Below are 20166 nucleotides of genomic sequence, written 5' to 3'. Positions count from 1 at the left end.
CTAATTTTCCATGAGGTAAACAGTAAATATCTGTGTCATGGTCAAAAATAATGTCATATTCTCTGTCTCAGTACAAAATAAATATTCTTCAAAATATAAAGGTCTTATTAGTATACAGTGTACTATATCAGTAATATCTTGAGGCAGTCTGTCTAATTCTGGCTTACTTGTAATGAATAAATGTTTTTCACATGTACTGCCATCTCCCTAACCTTATTCTTTAAAATTATAATTCCAATCAGAGAAATTACTTCTCAATTTTTAATATTTTTTATTTAAAAAATATACATTTTTTGAATTAAACAAATCACTCTACATTGAGGCTATGTCTTCATTGGTACATTTTTCCTTGAGGGTTCACAATAGTAATTCTTAAACTATTTTATTATTAATTTAAGAGAAACAGGGAATATTATGAACTGAGTATGTAAAGAAATCTCCATAGTTGGGTTATATTATTATTAGATCTTTTGCTACTTAATTTGTTCTAATAATTTTTCCCAAACCTTCCACAACTATTTCTTTGTTTCTTCCAACAACATTTGCTGACAAAGGAATGTAGTTTGATTTGTCACTATATTGATTCCACATATTACTTTAGTAATTTTTTCATGGCCAAAAATAAAAAACATTTCCCCATCTGTCATGTGATTTTTCTTATTGAGAAAGAAAATTCAAAAGAAGATTCCAGATGGTTATTATTGAAATTAGTGAAAACTTATAAAGTACTAGAAAACTTATTTTCTGAAAATTACAGAGGTTTGTGATAGTGTCATAATACCACTGGCTTTGATTCAAAGCACGTTCTATATTTAGGGTAAGGTTTGTTATTAGCAATAATAGATGCAGAAACAGATTTCAAATAGCTTTCCTGATAATGTCAAGCATTTTTTACTAACTTCAAGTCAGATCTGATTTAATTTGATGATCACTGTTCTCACCTTGTTATGAAAACTGATGAAAAGCTTGTAACAATATGAAAAGTGTCAACTTTCTTGTGAGTGCATGTGTGTATTTCTTACATTACTAGTTTGATCTTTAACAAATGATTTTTTTTGCAGAATTTTTTTCTACTACTTAGCTATTATAGGAAAGCTGGTTTAGTTAAAACTAGGTGATCTATTGTAACTACAAACCATAAATCTGCATAACTGAACAATAAACTTCAACGTAAAGGTGAGCAAGTGAAGTGGTTGCCTCACTGTAACTTCTCTTTATAGTTGGTTGCCTCATTATAACTTCCAGCCTTCTCCCAGGATTCCTCACAGACCATGTGACCAACTGACATGACAAGTAAGATAATAGTATTGTCCATCTATTGATTAAATATTAGTGCAGTTTAATTTATCCTGTATTTTGGATTTAAAAATACAACTAAAATCCTAGTGTCTTCTCATTGTATTCCACTGAAGCACTTTGCATAGATAGCTTCCAGGGTATGTGCACGCCACAGTGGAGACTCCTGTCTAAATGGCTTAGTTGGCTTTCTCAGCCTTCTGGAATCTGGCTCCAGCACAACTTTCAAGCAACCGCTAACATTCCCCATGGGGAGAAATTAAAGAAAAACAGCCAAATATGCCTTTGTGTGATTCCTGAACAAAGCTTGTGCTTTCTCCTTTCTGAACCTGTTCTCAGTTTTTCTACGTGCACTGATGCTGCACCTTCACATCAACTGTGTCAGAAAAAATCCCACCTGAACCTCCAGACCACTTTGCTAGCATGACTTCCATGAGTCTGCCCTTCTGTTCCCTAGTGGTAGTCAGTTTTCCTGATGCAGAATTTTCTGCAATGATTAATTTATTAATTAGTTTTTATTTACAGTCAAAACAATACTCTTAATTTACCTCTTACTATTCTGGCTGCTATGTTAAGTACTTCCTTATACAATTATTGATAAGGTTAATATTATGATAGCTTTAGTAAAGATGGGGGAACTGAATTTCTGTGCCCAAGATCACATAGCTGGAAGGCAGAAGTACTAGAATTATAGTCCATCTCTGATTACAAAGACTGTGCCCTCACCCACTGCACAAGATGTTTTTTCCTATGACACTTTTAGAATACTGCCTTTTCATTATTATAATTATCCATCTCTCTTAGCAACCCTCACTGCTATACCAAACACTTGGTATAATATTTTACTCTATTTATATATGTGTATTATTTAATCATTCATCTAGCTGTCATTTGTGTCGTTCATATTATTATAGTACATTGTTTACATTTCTTTGTTGCCACATCATTTTATTACTTCATTCATTCCTATCTTTCAAAATGTTTGTTGAATAGCATTAAAATTAATCCTGAAGTATAACAATTTGAAAATTACATACACATTTTTAAATTTTTAGTTTAATATTTTAAAAGTCATATTGCTATAGAATTTTATCTTTTTACTTATATACACAAACATAATACTGTTTAAATCTTTATTTGATATAGTACACGAAAATACTCTCCTCATAGAAACCAAACTTGGAACATTCTTTAGCAGGTACTTTCATTTCTGGTTAAAATGATATGAGGGTTAGTATTCAAGTTACATATAGCCAATAAGTGGCTGCCTAATCAGAAACGATGAAAAATAATAATGTTTTCTGTAGTGAGGAGGACTCCCATATTATAGTGCTTAGATGAGAGCATCCGATCTTTCACTCCAGGTCCAGTGAATTTTATTGGCTTAATTTTGTTTGGAGTGTTTCAAACACTCAAATCAGTAATCTGCATTGATGTAAACTTTATGTAAATTATTGAAGATTTGCATTCATTGTTTAATTTTAGCCCGTCAAAATAAATGGAAAATTAAACAAAAACTTAACACTGCATCCTTTCTTTGCACAGTTTTATATGTCATCTAGAATTCAGTTCTTTAACAATATTCAAAAAATATTCTGTTTGCCTTCAATATGGAAGGCTTTTGTGAAAAGAGCAAAACCAAATTTGGCAGTGCAGATATGTCTTGGCACATTCTCCACTACTAGTGAAGGCCTCAAGATACACCACCATGGGAAGAGATCCAAATGGGGCTCCGATCGTCACTGCCTCTCACTGACCAGTCTGCAGCTCAATAAATGGCAGGGGGTTATTGGAAGGGAAAGGAAAAAAAGCCTGGAGAGTAAACACTTTGCCAACTTGCCACCTTATAATATGCAAAAGTTATTTAGGGGAAAAAAAATCATTGCAGCATCACCACCGTAGGTAAACAATGATGAAATCCTGTGAGGAGTGTGGAGGGAGGAGACCAGGCAGTGAGTGAGAGGAGGAATAAGTGGGTAAGACGTGGTGCTGAGTGAAGAAGAAAAGCATGAACACAAGGAAAAGGCACATAAGGGAGATTGCAGGGCTGGTATTTTGATATTTATGTGTATTAATCTTCTGTCTAATGTCACTTAATTTCCCTTGTTACATTATATAAGTCTGGTCCTAATCTGTTTTGTATAATATCAGTAGAACCTTCAGAATCCATTATATAAAACCGTAACTTTTTAAATGGTCCTCTGAATTGTTACATATAACCATGGTCACATTTCTTTCATATATGCATATTTTATGACATTGTTACATATTTTAATATATGTAGACACAAAATAAAGAATACACATGGCCAGGCACGGTGGCTCACGCCTGTAATCCCAGGATTTTGGGAGGCCAAGGTGGGCGGATCACGAGGTCAGGAGTTCGAGATCAGCCTAACCAACATGGTGAAACCCGTCTCTACTAAAAATACAAAAATTAGCCAGGCGTGGTGGCACATGCCTGTAATCCCAGCTACTCGGGAGGCTGAGGCAGGAGAATGGCTTGAACCCAGGAGGCGGAGGTGGCAGTGAGCCAAGATCAAGCCACTGCACTTCAGCCTGGGTGACAGAGCGTGACTCCATCTAAAAAAAAATAGTAAGAAGAAAAATAAGAATACACATGACATTATCAAAGTTTGATTGTGAAAGATCATTTTCTTGACCTTTTATTCACAAGGAGCTTAAGTACCCCACCCCCATCATGATGGTGTTTACTGTAACTCAGTAAAGGGAGGATGGGGCTAGGGTTAAAAAAAGATAAACAAGGAAGGACATAGAAATTATACTGAATTCCAAAAAATGTGCTCTGGCATTTTCTGGGATGTAATGAAATGGAAATGTCTCTCCACTATAACCATCCAGAAAGCATTTATTAGAAGGCAGCTTCACCATTGCTTGCCACTTCAGTATGAGAAAGGAGCTGAAATGAGTGAAGTGCTCATCAACCGTCCTGCTATAGTCTCACAACTGCAGATAAGAAATTCTTTACTGGAAAGACATTCAAATTGGTACAGTATAGTTAATTCTAGGTGCACACTGAAGAGTAGGCATTAGTTTTTGCACTAAAGTTGTTAAGAATATATCACACTGTCTTTTTTAATTGAGTAACATTGTAAATTCAGCAAAATCATTTTACCCTGTAATATGCTCAGGATAGATCATTGACCATGCATAATAAAGGTATATATTTAGATGAAAATGAATGTAAAATGAGCATCAAGCCAACAATATTTATATTTGATAACTCTAACTAGAAAAAGGAGAAGAAAAGAAGGAGGGAGGGAAGGATGGGGAGAGGGAGGGAGGAAAGGAAGGAAGGAAGAAGGGAGGAAGGAAGGAAGAAGGAAGGAAGGATGAAGGAAGGAAGAAGGAAGGAGGAAGGAAGGAAGGAAGGAGTATGTTTGTTGTGCAACCGTACATCTGTTTACTTGGGCCATAGTTAGATCAGAAGAGCTCATGCCAACACACACTGAAAATATTGAGACAGTACAAGATACAGACTTAGTGGAATTAAGGTGGCCTCACAGGCTAGAATGAGCTATAGCATGCTCTTAGGCAGCTGTTCCCCTAACCCCTCCTTTCTGTAGGCTGTGAGACTATTGTGACACTCTCCTTTAAACAGGACAACTAACTGAATCAGTTTTATTTTGCTCATATATATTTTTAATTAGCAAAAAAGTCTTTATGCAACAAGTCTCTGTATTTAATGTTTATTTAAGGCCTCTCTGATTCTTGAATCGAAATTGTTGTCATGGCATCATCATAGCCCAAGAAAGGCAACAAGTTCAAGGTTGTGGTGTGTTGCTAAGGGTCCCAGATCTCTGGAAAGCCCATGCTCCCGCTCACAAAAGCTATTTATTGTTTAAGGAAGCTGCTTTTCAAGATAAAACAAGATTTCAAAATCAGAAGGTATTTGTAAGTGACATTAGTGAAACACCTTTGAGATGAGATGCTGAAGATAAATGTGATTAACAACTCTATAGAAATAACAGCTGGATATTTCTCTTTAACTGAACTGATGAGTCAGACCAATTATTGTATAACTTTTTCAAAGTACATAATTTCTAAACATTCATTCCAAGTGATGTAGAGTAATGATATTAACAATAATACCAAGTATATATAGTGTTTCATAACTTTCAAAATGTCTCTTAAAAGCAGTGCCTTGTTTGAATCATTTGACAAGAATGATAACAAAATTATTTGTGGTACATGGCATATATGTTATTATGACATGTTATTTGCTTTTTTTTTGTTTAGTAAATTCTCCAACATCCCTTACAACTTGCAGCCAGGCACAAAGCCCGTTGTCTGATGCTTTCTTGAACTTTACCTGACCTCATAATCCAAAAGTATAACTTATGTTAATAGAAAATTTATCTTTAAATATCTTCATCACAATTTATAAACTTTATCCTAAAGCAAATTTATTGAGAAAAGTAATCATATTTTTGAGGGAAAATGACATTGAAATGTGAAAAGGTAGAGTATTTATGAAAGAAGATCAAATATCATTGAGAATTGACATTTAATTAAATTTAGTTTAAATGGAAACTAACCTTACCAACGCATATCAACAATATTTTTCTCAAACTTTTAAAAAATACTGAGATATGGTTGAAAAAATTTTCCAAAATTATTTTTCAGTTCCTAATAGTTATTTGGTAGTAATGGAGAGGCCATGTTTTTAGTTTAACCATGTTAAGTTTTCCTGTATCTTTATCTCCCTGCTTAGGAAAAGGAAGATGACAAATCAGACACCTCAAGTTCTCAGCAGCCTAAAAGCCCCCAAGGTCTGAGCGACACGGGATATTCTTCCGATGGAATATCAAGCTCACTTGGTGAAATTCCAAGTCTTATTCCAACTGATGAAAAGGATATTCTCAAGGGACTCAAAAAGGACTCTTTTTCACAAGAAAGCAGCCCTTCCAGCCCCTCAGATTTGGCTAAGTTAGAAAGTACAGTCCTATCTATTTTGGAAGCTCAAGCAAGTACACTTGCTGATGAAAAGTCAGAAAAGAAAACACAACCCCATGAAGTTTCTCCTGAACAGCCTAAAGACCAAGAGAAAACTCAGAGTTTATCTGAAACCTTGGAAATTACTATTTCAGAAGAGGAGATCAAAGAGAGTCAAGAAGAAAGGAAAGACACTTTTAAAAAAGATAGCCAACAAGATATTCCTTCCAGCAAGGACCATAAAGAGAAGTCTGAGTTTGTTGATGACATAACTACTAGAAGAGAGCCTTATGATTCAGTTGAAGAGAGTAGTGAAAGTGAAAACTCACCTGTTCCACAAAGAAAACGAAGAACTAGTGTTGGCTCATCAAGCAGTGATGAGTATAAACAGGAAGACAGCCAAGGATCAGGGGAAGAGGAGGACTTCATTCGAAAACAAATCATAGAAATGAGTGCTGATGAAGATGCTTCAGGTTCTGAAGATGATGAGTTCATCAGAAACCAGCTCAAAGAGATTAGTAGCAGTACTGAGAGCCAGAAGAAGGAAGAAACAAAGGGAAAAGGCAAAATAACAGCAGGGAAACACAGACGACTGACTCGAAAAAGTAGCACAAGCATTGATGAAGATGCAGGAAGACGTCACTCATGGCATGATGAAGACGATGAAGCATTTGATGAAAGTCCTGAACTTAAATACAGAGAAACTAAAAGTCAGGAAAGTGAAGAACTTGTAGTTACTGGAGGAGGAGGGCTACGCCGATTTAAAACAATTGAGCTCAACAGTACAATAGCAGATAAATATTCTGCAGAGTCATCACAGAAAAAAACAAGTTTGTATTTTGACGAAGAGCCAGAATTGGAAATGGAAAGCCTGACAGACTCACCTGAAGATAGGTCAAGGGGAGAGGGATCTTCGAGTCTGCATGCTTCCAGCTTCACTCCTGGTACATCCCCTACATCAGTATCATCACTTGATGAGGACAGTGACAGTAGCCCGAGTCACAAAAAAGGAGAGAGCAAACAGCAACGCAAAGCTCGGCACAGACCACATGGCCCTCTTTTGCCTACTATTGAAGATTCTTCAGAGGAAGAAGAATTGAGAGAGGAAGAAGAATTATTAAAGGAGCAAGAAAAGCAGAGGGAAATAGAACAGCAACAAAGAAAGAGTTCTAGTAAAAAATCAAAGAAAGACAAAGATGAACTTCGAGCTCAGAGAAGAAGGGAAAGGCCAAAGACACCACCTAGTAATCTCTCTCCCATTGAAGATGCATCTCCGACAGAAGAGTTACGTCAGGCTGCAGAAATGGAGGAGCTCCATAGATCTTCTTGTTCTGAATATTCACCTAGCATAGAGTCAGACCCAGAAGGTTTTGAAATAAGCCCGGAAAAAATAATAGAAGTACAAAAAGTTTATAAATTGCCCACAGCTGTTTCATTATACTCACCAACAGATGAGCAATCTATTATGCAGAAAGAAGGTAGCCAAAAGGCGTTAAAAAGTGCTGAGGAGATGTATGAAGAAATGATGCATAAAACACACAAATACAAAGCTTTTCCAGCTGCAAATGAACGAGATGAAGTGTTTGAAAAAGAGCCTTTGTATGGTGGGATGCTAATAGAGGATTATATTTATGAATCTTTAGTAGAAGACACGTACAATGGATCGGTAGATGGCAGTCTGCTAACAAGGCAAGAAGAAGAAAATGGATTTATGCAGCAGAAAGGAAGAGAGCAAAAGATAAGACTTTCAGAACAGATTTATGAAGATCCTATGCAGAAAATTACAGACCTCCAGAAAGAGTTTTATGAGTTAGAAAGCTTACATTCTGTTGTGCCTCAGGAAGATATTGTTTCAAGCTCTTTTATCATCCCAGAAAGCCATGAGATAGTGGACCTGGGTACTATGGTAACTTCTACAGAAGAAGAAAGGAAACTACTAGATGCTGATGCTGCCTATGAAGAACTTATGAAGAGGCAACAGATGCAATTAACACCTGGATCTAGCCCAACCCAGGCCCCCATTGGTGAGGATATGACAGAGTCCACCATGGACTTTGACAGAATGCCAGATGCCTCTTTGACATCAAGTGTTCTCTCAGGAGCGTCTCTTACAGATTCGACCAGCAGTGCAACACTCTCTATCCCAGATGTTAAAATAACCCAACATTTTTCAACAGAAGAAATTGAGGATGAATATGTAACCGATTATACAAGAGAAATTCAAGAGATAATTGCCCATGAATCGCTGATTTTGACCTACTCGGAGCCTTCAGAAAGTGCTACATCTGTCCCACCCTCTGACACACCTTCTCTCACATCATCTGTTTCTTCGGTCTGTACCACAGATAGCTCTTCACCCATTACTACCCTGGATAGCATAACCACAGTTTATACAGAGCCAGTGGACATGATAACTAAATTTGAAGATTCTGAGGAAATTTCTTCATCAACTTATTTTCCAGGCAGCATTATAGACTATCCAGAAGAAATAAGTGTATCTTTAGATCGGACTGCCCCACCAGATGGTAGAGCTAGTGCTGATCATATTGTTATTTCCTTATCTGATATGGCATCTTCTATCATAGAATCTGTAGTACCTAAACCTGAAGGGCCAGTTGCTGACACTGTTTCTACTGACTTACTTATATCTGAAAAGGACCCAGTGAAGAAAGCCAAGAAGGAAACTGGGAATGGAATCATTCTGGAAGTTTTGGAAGCTTACAGAGATAAAAAGGAGTTGGAGGCCGAACGAACAAAAAGTAGCTTATCCGAAACCGTGTTTGATCACCCACCTTCTTCTGTAATAGCCCTTCCAATGAAAGAGCAGCTTTCAACTACATACTTTACATCTGGAGAGACCTTTGGTCAGGAAAAACCTGCATCTCAGTTACCATCTGGCAGTCCTTCTGTTTCCTCTCTTCCAGCTAAACCTCGCCCATTCTTTAGAAGTTCTTCTTTGGATATATCAGCTCAACCTCCTCCCCCTCCTCCCCCTCCCCCTCCTCCTCCTCCTCCACCACCACCCCCTCCTCCCCCACCACTTCCTCCACCAACTTCACCTAAACCAACTATTCTTCCTAAAAAAAAGTTAACAGTTGCATCTCCAGTGACTACAGCTACACCTCTGTTTGATGCTGTTACTACTCTAGAGACCACAGCTGTTCTGAGAAGTAATGGATTACCTGTTACAAGAATATGTACTACTGCACCTCCTCCTGTTCCTCCTAAGCCATCTTCAATTCCATCTGGACTTGTATTTACCCACAGGCCTGAGCCAAGCAAACCTCCAATCGCCCCCAAACCAGTGATTCCTCAGCTTCCAACAACTACACAAAAACCAACAGATATACACCCCAAACCAACAGGCCTATCTTTAACTTCAAGTATGACCTTAAATTTAGTGACTTCAGCAGATTATAAATTGCCTTCCCCTACCTCCCCACTTTCCCCACACTCCAACAAGTCTTCACCAAGATTTTCCAAATCCCTCACAGAAACTTATGTAGTTATTACATTGCCATCTGAACCAGGGACTCCAACAGATTCTTCTGCTAGTCAAGCAATTACCAGTTGGCCCTTGGGATCACCCTCCAAAGATCTGGTTTCTGTTGAACCTGTGTTTTCTGTAGTTCCTCCTGTGACAGCTGTAGAAATTCCAATTTCTTCAGAACAGACCTTCTACATCTCTGGAGCTTTACAGACATTTTCTGCTACCCCTGTCACAGCACCCTCTTCATTTCAAGCAGCTCCCACATCAGTTACACAGTTTCTCACTACTGAAGTTTCCAAGACTGAGGTTTCAGCAACCAGAAGTACAGCTCCTAGTGTTGGTCTCAGCAGCATTTCCATAACAATTCCTCCAGAGCCTCTTGCTCTAGATAACATACATTTAGAGAAGCCTCAGTATAAAGAAGATGGAAAATTGCAACTTGTTGGTGATGTAATTGATTTGCGTACAGTACCAAAGGTAGAAGTTAAAACAACTGATAAATGTATTGATCTTTCTGCTTCTACAATGGATGTGAAAAGGCAGATCACAGCAAATGAAGTTTATGGGAAACAAATTAGTGCTGTCCAACCCTCTATTATAAATCTTAGTGTGACATCATCAATAGTGACTCCTGTATCTCTGGCCACTGAGACAGTGACCTTTGTCACATGCACAGCTAGTGCAAGTTACACTACAGGCACAGAAAGCCTAGTGGGTGCAGAACATGCAATGACAACACCACTCCAACTTACAACATCAAAGCATGCTGAGCCCCCATACAGGATACCAAGTGACCAGGTCTTTCCTATAGCTAGGGAAGAAGCACCAATAAACTTATCTCTAGGTACTCCAGCACATGCAGTGACATTGGCTATTACAAAACCTGTCACTGTGCCTCCTGTTGGTGTCACAAATGGATGGACTGATAGCACCGTATCCCAGGGAATCACTGATGGGGAAGTAGTGGATCTCAGTACAACCAAGTCTCACAGAACAGTCGTAACAATGGATGAGTCTACTTCAAGTGTGATGACCAAAATAATAGAAGATGAAAAACCCGTTGATTTAACCGCAGGGAGAAGAGCTGTGTGCTGTGATGTGGTTTATAAATTACCATTTGGAAGGAGCTGCACAGCACAGCAGCCTGCAACTACTCTTCCTGAGGATCGTTTTGGTTATAGGGATGACCACTATCAGTATGATCGATCAGGGCCATATGGTTATAGAGGGATTGGGGGAATGAAGCCTTCCATGTCTGACACAAATTTAGCAGAAGCTGGACATTTTTTCTATAAAAGTAAGAATGCTTTTGATTATTCTGAAGGAACTGACACAGCAGTAGATCTGACTTCAGGGAGAGTTACTACAGGTCAGTATGATGTGGCAGCAGACCTTTCCTTGAAATATCATTATGGTGTTCCTCATCTCATTTCAGGATGAAAATGTGGCTTCTTTTCCAGTTTTGTTACTTTTTCTCTTTCTTTGGATGTTATAGCAGCATATTTTGGAGTACAAGTGCGCTTTTGTTCCTTCATTTTAAAAAAAATTTGTTCTGCTCAAAATCACTGCATGCGCCTGCATGTTCAACATTGCTTTCATTCCGCATATAATTAGGTTACCCTGTGGATTTGCATGCAGTCTCATTCATTATGTTCATCAAGATGAGAGGGTTTTCAAACTCAAAAAGCATCATTCATTCTGGGAACTGGACTATAACTCTGCCCTGTATTTCAGGTGAGGTAATGGATTATTCAAGCAAGACTACAGGTCCATATCCAGAAACACGACAAGTCATTTCAGGAGCTGGGATTAGTACCCCACAGTATTCCACAGCAAGAATGACACCACCACCAGGACCCCAGTATTGTGTGGGGAGTGTTTTGAGGTCATCTAATGGTGTTGTCTATTCTTCAGTAGCAACTCCAACACCCTCTACATTTGCTATCACCACACAACCTGGCTCCATTTTCAGCACCACAGTGAGGGATTTGTCTGGTATTCATACGGCTGATGCAGTGACTTCATTACCTGCCATGCACCATAGCCAGCCAATGCCTAGATCATATTTTATAACAACAGGTGCATCTGAAACGGACATTGCAGTAACTGGTATTGATATCAGTGCCAGTTTGCAAACTATTACTATGGAGTCTCTTACTGCTGAGACGATAGACTCTGTTCCCACTTTAACCACAGCATCCGAAGTGTTTCCTGAAGTGGTGGGAGATGAAAGTGCTCTTTTAATTGTCCCTGAAGAAGATAAACAACAGCAGCAGCTAGACTTGGAGCGTGAGCTCCTGGAACTGGAGAAAATTAAGCAACAGCGCTTTGCTGAGGAATTGGAGTGGGAACGTCAGGAAATTCAAAGGTTCCGAGAACAAGAAAAGATCATGGTTCAGAAAAAGTTGGAGGAGCTGCAGTCTATGAAGCAACACCTTCTCTTTCAGCAAGAAGAAGAGCGGCAAGCCCAGTTCATGATGAGGCAGGAGACGTTAGCTCAGCAACAGTTACAGCTTGAGCAGATCCAACAGCTGCAACAACAGCTTCACCAGCAGCTGGAGGAGCAAAAGATTCGGCAGATCTACCAGTATAACTATGACCCTTCTGGAACTGCTTCTCCACAAACCACTACAGAGCAGGCAATTTTGGAAGGTCAGTATGCTGCTCTGGAAGGCAGTCAATTTTGGGCAACTGAAGATGCAACCACCACAGCTTCAGCTGTTGTGGCAATTGAAATACCACAAAGCCAAGGATGGTACACCGTTCAGTCTGATGGTGTTACTCAGTACATTGCCCCACCTGGTATCCTGAGCACTGTTTCAGAAATACCTCTAACAGATGTTGTTGTGAAAGAGGAAAAACAACCCAAAAAGAGAAGTTCTGGAGCTAAAGTCCGAGGACAGTATGATGACATGGGAGAAAATATGACAGATGATCCCCGAAGTTTTAAAAAGATAGTGGACAGTGGTGTACAAACGGATGACGAAGATGCCACAGATCGGAGCTATGTGAGTAGGAGAAGGAGAACTAAAAAGAGTGTGGATACAAGCGTCCAAACTGATGATGAAGATCAGGATGAGTGGGATATGCCTACTAGATCAAGGAGGAAAGCTCGTGTAGGGAAATATGGTGACAGCATGACAGAGGCTGACAAGACCAAACCCCTTTCCAAAGTCTCCAGCATAGCAGTTCAAACGGTAGCAGAGATATCTGTGCAAACTGAACCAGTTGGAACCATAAGAACACCCTCCATACGGGCACGAGTGGATGCCAAGGTAGAAATAATTAAACACATTTCAGCACCTGAAAAGACTTACAAAGGGGGCAGTTTAGGATGTCAAACAGAAGCAGATTCAGACACACAAAGTCCTCAATATCTGAGTGCCACATCTCCACCCAAAGACAAGAAACGCCCAACACCTTTAGAGATTGGTTATTCATCTCACCTCCGGGCAGATTCCACAGTACAGCTGGCTCCTTCCCCACCCAAATCCCCCAAAGTCCTTTACTCACCCATCTCACCACTTTCACCAGGCAAAGCCTTAGAATCAGCCTTTGTACCTTATGAAAAACCCCTCCCTGATGATATAAGTCCACAGAAAGTACTGCATCCAGATATGGCTAAAGTTCCCCCAGCAAGTCCTAAGACAGCCAAGATGATGCAGCGTTCTATGTCTGACCCCAAGCCTCTGAGTCCAACAGCAGACGAAAGTTCCAGGGCTCCTTTTCAGTATACCGAGGGCTATACGGTAAGAGTGATTCTTTTCAGTTGGAAGGCAATGGATGAGTTATTAATCATGTGTTTTCAGACTTTTAGGAGGCGATCAGGCTCCTGGTACCTTAGAAACCTAATACTAGATTAGGGTGAAGATTATTGCCTTAGAAATTTACACTATATATGTGTATATGTGTGTGTGCGTGTGTGTGTGCACACGTGTGTGTGTGCGCTTGTGTGTGTGTGTGTGTGTAGGAAACCATACATTCACTTAAAAATACCAAAGAAAGAAAACACATTATGTGAAGCAAAATGAGTTTATTATTTTAAGACAATGAAATTGAAAGTCTTATTCTTATATCGAAATCTCCCAAATATCAACTGTAGCTGTGATTTCAGTAAACATAATTAATATTCATTTTCAGGCATGATAGGAAACATTAAACAGATAATGCAAAAGGTGACTATGAATTTAGACCATGGATGTTTAGTGGGAAAGCCCTTAGAAATTATCTGGTCAGTATCCTCTTCTTCCAGCCAGAATGTTTTCATTAAAAGGCTTGGAACACTTACTGGTCAAAAGAGAACATTTCTGAGGCAGGCAGATAAAAGTGTGATATAATCATCATAGTCCATCCATGCTTATTTTATTTCTGGCAACTTTATTAATCTAAACTCAGGTAAACCTTAATCCTAGTGCTCACAGAAGCAAAAATAATTTTTCATGTTTCTTTTAATAATATAAATTAATTATTTTCAAATATATAGGTATGCTTCAAGGGGAGAAGAACATATACAGATGTATCTGTGAAGATCTCTATAACAGAGAATAAGAAATGTGCATAATCAGCTCTAAAGCAGATATTTCCTACTTAAGAAAATCTAATATACATAACTATTCAGAAAGTGATTGATAGATATAATAGCTCAATTTAGAACAAGACTTCTGTTCAAATTAGAAGTTCCCCTAATGCATGATTACTGAGCTCTAGGTTTTGAACCCTGAAGTTTCTAAGTAGGTTTTTCTGAGATGGTGTTACATTTCCATTGACCCATATGTGTTAAACACTGGCTGTGGGCTGAAAAATATGTCATGATATATGACTGTAAGTCTACTTGTAGGTATATAGACATCAATGGTCATAATAGTAAATTATAAATTTATTTATGTTTTCTAGTTTTCTAGTAGAATTGCGTTATTACGTTTTTTTTTTTCTCAAAGTAGTATAAGCTAAAACTAAAACTGTCTTCATGTCAAGGAGGGAGGTAATAGCTGTAGAATCAGGAAACCTCTGTTGTATTGAGATTTCATCCAGTATACAGAGAATTATTTTATGCATAGTGTTGTTTCCAGAATTTAATCTATTAATATAGTTGAAAAGTGATTTTTAAGTTAGTTATATAATGTGTAGGTATATATTTTTATAGGTTTGGCCTAGAAATTCACTTAAAGAGTTATGTGAACAACTTTGAAATATGATTTTTGGCAGTATTTTCAAAGTAATAGTGAAGACTTCTGTTATTAGAAAGAACAGGCTTTCCAGGTGGAATATTGACTATTTACATAATATGTATCCCTGTACCCTTAATTCAAATGAGCTCAGCTAAAAAAGAGTCTCAAGTTATCAATATTTTTTTCCTCACAAAGTATTCACTTTGGATTTGGAAATGTATCCACTTGGAAATTGATACAATGGGTTGTAAAGGTTGTATTACTGATTGTGTCAGAAATATTGATAAGCTAATCATAAAGGAAGTTGAGTAGAATTACCAAATAATACCCAGAATCTGAAAAACCCTAGGTGTTTTGAGCCTCAAAGCACAATTCATTGGTTCTTTTTTCCAGTTGGTCAAGTTAAATGCATTCTTTAATATGGAATAGTTGTATACAGATTCAAAGGTATTGTCTTATTACATGCACAGGTAGATCATTTTATACACAGGCAGTGTTGTTAACACTCTAGAGACTATGAGTCTAAGATGTGAATTTTATAATTTCTAGGCAAATGTCTAGACATACTTTGAGTCTATTTTAAAGTAAATAAATTAATTTCTTAATTATGAGTGTGAATTACTAAGTATTAACTATACTAAAAAAATAATTTTCTTAGGGATATTCATAGTGATGTGAATTTAAGAAGGCTAGCTCAGTAGTTTACAGGTTGTTAATTTTCACAGACCAGTAAGATTTAAAAAACTTACACCACTCAGTAGGCACTGAAACAACACAGTGACACACATAATACACTGTAAAAGATAAGTTTTATACTCTGTCAGATTCTGAATCAATCTGTTCTCCTGAAAGTGTCAGGAGAGGTTGCAAAGAAGAGGTCTGAGTCATGAAGATTGAGACCTCTGCTGGACCATGGAGAGAAAAATGGAGGTCATTGTAACTAGAGGGAATAAATGGACAAAGTTTCAGATTGATGAACAGACATAAAGCAAAGAGGGGGAGAAAAGGGTTTACTGTAAATACAATCAGAAAGGCAAGTGAGGGCCAGATCACTGGAGATCTAATCTGCTGCCTTACAAAGTTTGGATTTACTTCCTGTGGCTATGAGGATCATAGACCAGAGCCACCATCATCTTTTATTTACAATGTGCACAGCCCTTAGGCTCCTTCTACACTTGCCCTTACTGCCATCAGTTCTCTAAACAGCTCCTAAGTGATTTTCTAAAATGTACATCAGATTATGTTACTTGCAGCACAGTTTAAACTCTATTAGGATCTCATCAAATTCAAAATATATTAGAAATTTCTTAACAAGGCTATATGTGATGTGATCTCTGCTTGTTTCATGACCTCATTGATCACTCTCCAGACTTTCTCCCCTCCTCACTCTGCTCCGACCACAGGCCATGCTGTTCTTTGGATGGGCCAACCTTGCCCCCACCCAGGGCACGAGTCTGTGCCTCTATCTCCCCAGATATACGTATGCTGACTCCTACATACAGATTTCTGCTCAAATTTTACCTCCACAGAGAGACTTTTCTTAATTTGTTCTCTAAAGAAGTCTGCTTATTACTATAAATCTCTATTTCTGCCTCTAAATTTGTATATATTACTTATTAAATACATTATATTGTGTATTTAATTGAATATTATCTTTCTTCTCCAGTAGAATATAAGCTCTACAAGAGCAGGAATTTTGCTTCTCTTGCCACTATAGTCCTAAATGCCTGACTAGTGCCTGGCATGAAGTAGGTGCTCAACATTGATTGAATAAATTTATTAAAGGGAAGATTATAATCATAGAAGGAATGGGAAAAGATTTATATTGAAAAGACTCTGGCTGCTTATCTTTTCATTGCTGTACTTGGACAATGAAATCTTAGCAAGTCTTGTTGATAATCTAAGTTAATATGTCCCTTATTTAAAGTATCACTTTCACTTTGTTTATTTTTATATAGGCATCTGAAACACTGAATACAGGTTGAATGGTGTTTAGCTACTAGCAAGCCCTTACAGATAAGACAAGTCCCCGAGTAGTCTAGTGATTTTATGATGGCTCCTTACTAAACCCGTGCCCTGACTCTATATTTCATAGTTCTTATCCTTTTATTAGTTTCTGCTGAGACATATTAAACATTTCCTAATTATTTATTCTTAATTCAGTGTCATGCTTGATTTTTTTAAATCTTGGCATTTCCTCTTCTGTCCTTAAAATTCCAGTTTAAATCTCCATCAATTAGGTTTATACGTTTTTAAAATTCAATTCTTGCTTGTTTTCACTCATTACCTTATTCATTACTCTTTTCCAGACGTGGTGATAAACTGTAAAGGTACAGGATGAATCAGAGAGGCAGGTTTCATGCTTGACTTCCTACCACTAGGATCATTTTGTTGTTATTGCTCATGCATTGTATCAGTTTGCTAGCGCTCTCATAACAGTACCACAAACTGGGTGGCTTCAACAACAGAAATGTATTCCTTCTGTATGTGTCTACCTCTGTTCCCAAATTTCCCTTTTATAAGGATACTACCATATTGATTTAGGCCTACTCTAATGACCTCATTTTAACTTGATTACCTCTGTAAAGACCCTATGTTCAAATAGGTTCACATTTTGAGATATCAAGGGTTAAGACTCCAATATATCATTTTTTTGGAGGAGACAAAATTCGACCCATAAAATATATCCAAGCACTATATTGTACTTTTTGTTTGCTCACAGCCAAATATGGAATGATATTTTATTTGTTTTGGGTATTTTTCAAGACCCTGTCAGTCTGATATCAAATTTTATTTGTTGACATTTACGTAACCGGACAGTTTTATCTTGCAGCCTACTTACTCTTACAAATTTAATTGTTTAGCTCTGAGTAAAAATGGAAAAACATTACCGCCTGTTTCCTTAAATCTTTCACTTTACTCCACAGAAAAAAAAAATCCCAAGAGACACAAACACAGTCAGAATTTATTTCTTCTGGGTTTAAGCTTGCTCCCTAGGTATGACTTAGTAATACTGTATTTTCATCATGATTTAGCAAAAGCACAGGAAGAAGTGTACATTTTAATGAAAGGTGGCATGTGGACAGTGATTTTTATTAATTTATCAGTAGAACTCTTCTTCATTTGGAATATTTTATGTAAGAGAGAGTTAAAAATGGGTAGAATCAGAATGATCAAAGGTTTATTTGTAAAGATTAAGTGAATAAGGTTTATTACCTTCCCATCACCAAGTCTGACAATTGTGGATATCCAGCAATGTGGATTCTCTTTTTCTCAGATGGACATTTGGCAAATATCTGTGTTTCTTCAGTAAAAAGTCACCAACTATCATTAAAGAGCTTTACTTTATGGGTTGGTAGAAATAATTCTCAAAAGTTCCGGTAACTGTATCTTTCATATTCTTTGGAGTATGTAATGTTGCTTCTCTGGAAATTGCCGACTCCTATACCTGGTAGCCATTTTTGAATTTATTTTTTTGAGTCATGAGGTCTTCTTGACTGACCTGTCTTAAATTAGTACTCTATCTCTATGGCCTTCTTTATTTTCCTCCATTTTGCCTATCATCATCTAAGATACTATATCTGTTTTTGTTGTTGTTATTTTATTTATTGTCTTTCCTCCCTCACCAAAATTTATGGGTTTTTGTTTAATATCTTTACTGCTGTATACCCAGTGTCCAGAAAGATACCTGACTCATAATAGGTGCTCTATAATAATAATTTAACTTGATTAATTAATGAGCCAAAGGACCTCTTTATCCATCAAATAATTTTCAATTTTGCAGGATTCATAAATCCCTCACTCCCACATGAAACAAAAAATAAAAACAAAGCAAAAGCTAACAAAACCGTATTCATCCTCCCACTATTCATTTTGTGTAATTCAATGTTACTTTTTTTTTTTTTTTTTTTTTTTTTTTATGGATTCTTGTTCCGTTGCCCAGGCTGGAGTGTAATGACACGATCTCACTTCACCTGCAACTCCTGGGTTCAAGTGATTCTCCTGCCTCAGCCTCCCGAGTAGCTGGGATTACAGGTGCTTGCCACCCCGCCCAGCTAATTTTTTGTGCTTTTTAGTAGAGATGTTGGCCAGGCTGGTCACGGACTCCTGACCTCAGGTGATCCACCCGCCTCGGCCTCCCAGAGTGCTGGCATTACAGACGTGAGCCACCGCACCCAGCCCAGTGTTACAATTTTTACTTCTGTTTCCTCTGTGCTTTTCTTCCATTTCGTACATGGACCACACTACACTTTCTCCATTTATTTCCATCTAGTATTTTTGTGTATCTATGGATTATCTCTAGTACCATGTTTATGACAATTCCATAAACCAGAGCTCCAAAATGCCTTCCTTACACCCTTTCTCTTTCTTCTGCACAATGAGACTGATTTACATCCTACCCCAGATGATCAATAACTTCAATCAGGAAGGTTAGTGTAGCATGCTCTCTACAGAGTCGGGGAGAAAAGTGACATTATCTATTGCATAGCAATGTAAATTCCAAGAATTTGTTTAGAGCTAGTAGGTACCTAATTTATTTCAAGATTTATGTATCTTAAAGTATAAGAGTTTTCTTAGTGATTTTTCTATCAAAAAAATTAGTTTGTATATTTAAGAAATATCACATTTTGGCAATGATAGTACACACTACTTTTTGTGCTAAAAAAAAATTAGCTACAATTAAAATGTTATCACCTCTCTGTGGCCTTAAAAGTACATAGGCTATTAATTGTTGAAGCTATTTCATCCCCTTAGACTTGTTCAACAATTTTAGAAAGTTTTTAGTAATAGGCAAACTTCTTATTAAAATCTTTTTGTTCTAGTGTTTAAGCCAGGATCCTATTGCAAAGCAGATGGCATTCATGAGCTGATTTTTACAAGAATATGCTTTGCTCCACTGATTGCTGTTTTGATAGCTATTTTTAAAATTTTTGGAATCCTTTAATGTCTATTTCTGAAAGTAATTTCCATAACCTAAATTGAGAAATTGTATTTCTGTCAATTCTTCCAGAGTATAATGATTTAAGAAATAATGGCTCTGGTGGCCAAATGTGATTTGAATAATAATAATATTTATTAGGGGTTATTTTTCATTATTCTCTTTGAAAAGCAATATAAGAAAGCAATCTATTAAAACTAACTTTAAAACTGTTTTATAATGGTGGTATTTATGTATGTCAGAAAAAAATAATCATATATTAAAGATTAGCTTTGTAAATAATAGAAGCCTCATCTTTCTATAGCTCTTACCTTCTTC

At 37.3% G+C, this 20166-nt stretch overlaps 1 protein-coding gene across 7 annotated transcripts in view; it reads left to right on the top strand.

Moving 5' to 3' along the window:
• PCLO (piccolo presynaptic cytomatrix protein) overlaps nucleotides 1-20166 on the top strand; it is a 408873-nt gene that overhangs the window by 199919 nt on the left and 188788 nt on the right. For 5 of the 7 annotated variants that reach the window (NM_033026.6, XM_047420210.1, XM_047420212.1 and 2 more), the window contains exons 5-6: nucleotides 6031-11110; nucleotides 11476-13490. The exons of 1 other annotated variant lie outside the window; for it this stretch is intronic. In NM_033026.6, the coding sequence (NP_149015.2) occupies nucleotides 6031-11110; nucleotides 11476-13490 (7095 nt within the window). The remainder of the gene's footprint in view (nucleotides 1-6030; nucleotides 11111-11475; nucleotides 13491-20166) is intronic. One more of the 7 variants, XM_047420211.1, reaches the window with a different exon arrangement.

The sequence above is a fragment of the Homo sapiens genome, chromosome 7, assembly GCF_000001405.40.
Source record: "Homo sapiens chromosome 7, GRCh38.p14 Primary Assembly".
NCBI lineage: Eukaryota > Metazoa > Chordata > Mammalia > Primates > Hominidae > Homo > Homo sapiens.
Note: the sequence above shows the minus strand (reverse complement) of the source record. Positions and strands in the feature narration are given on the sequence as shown.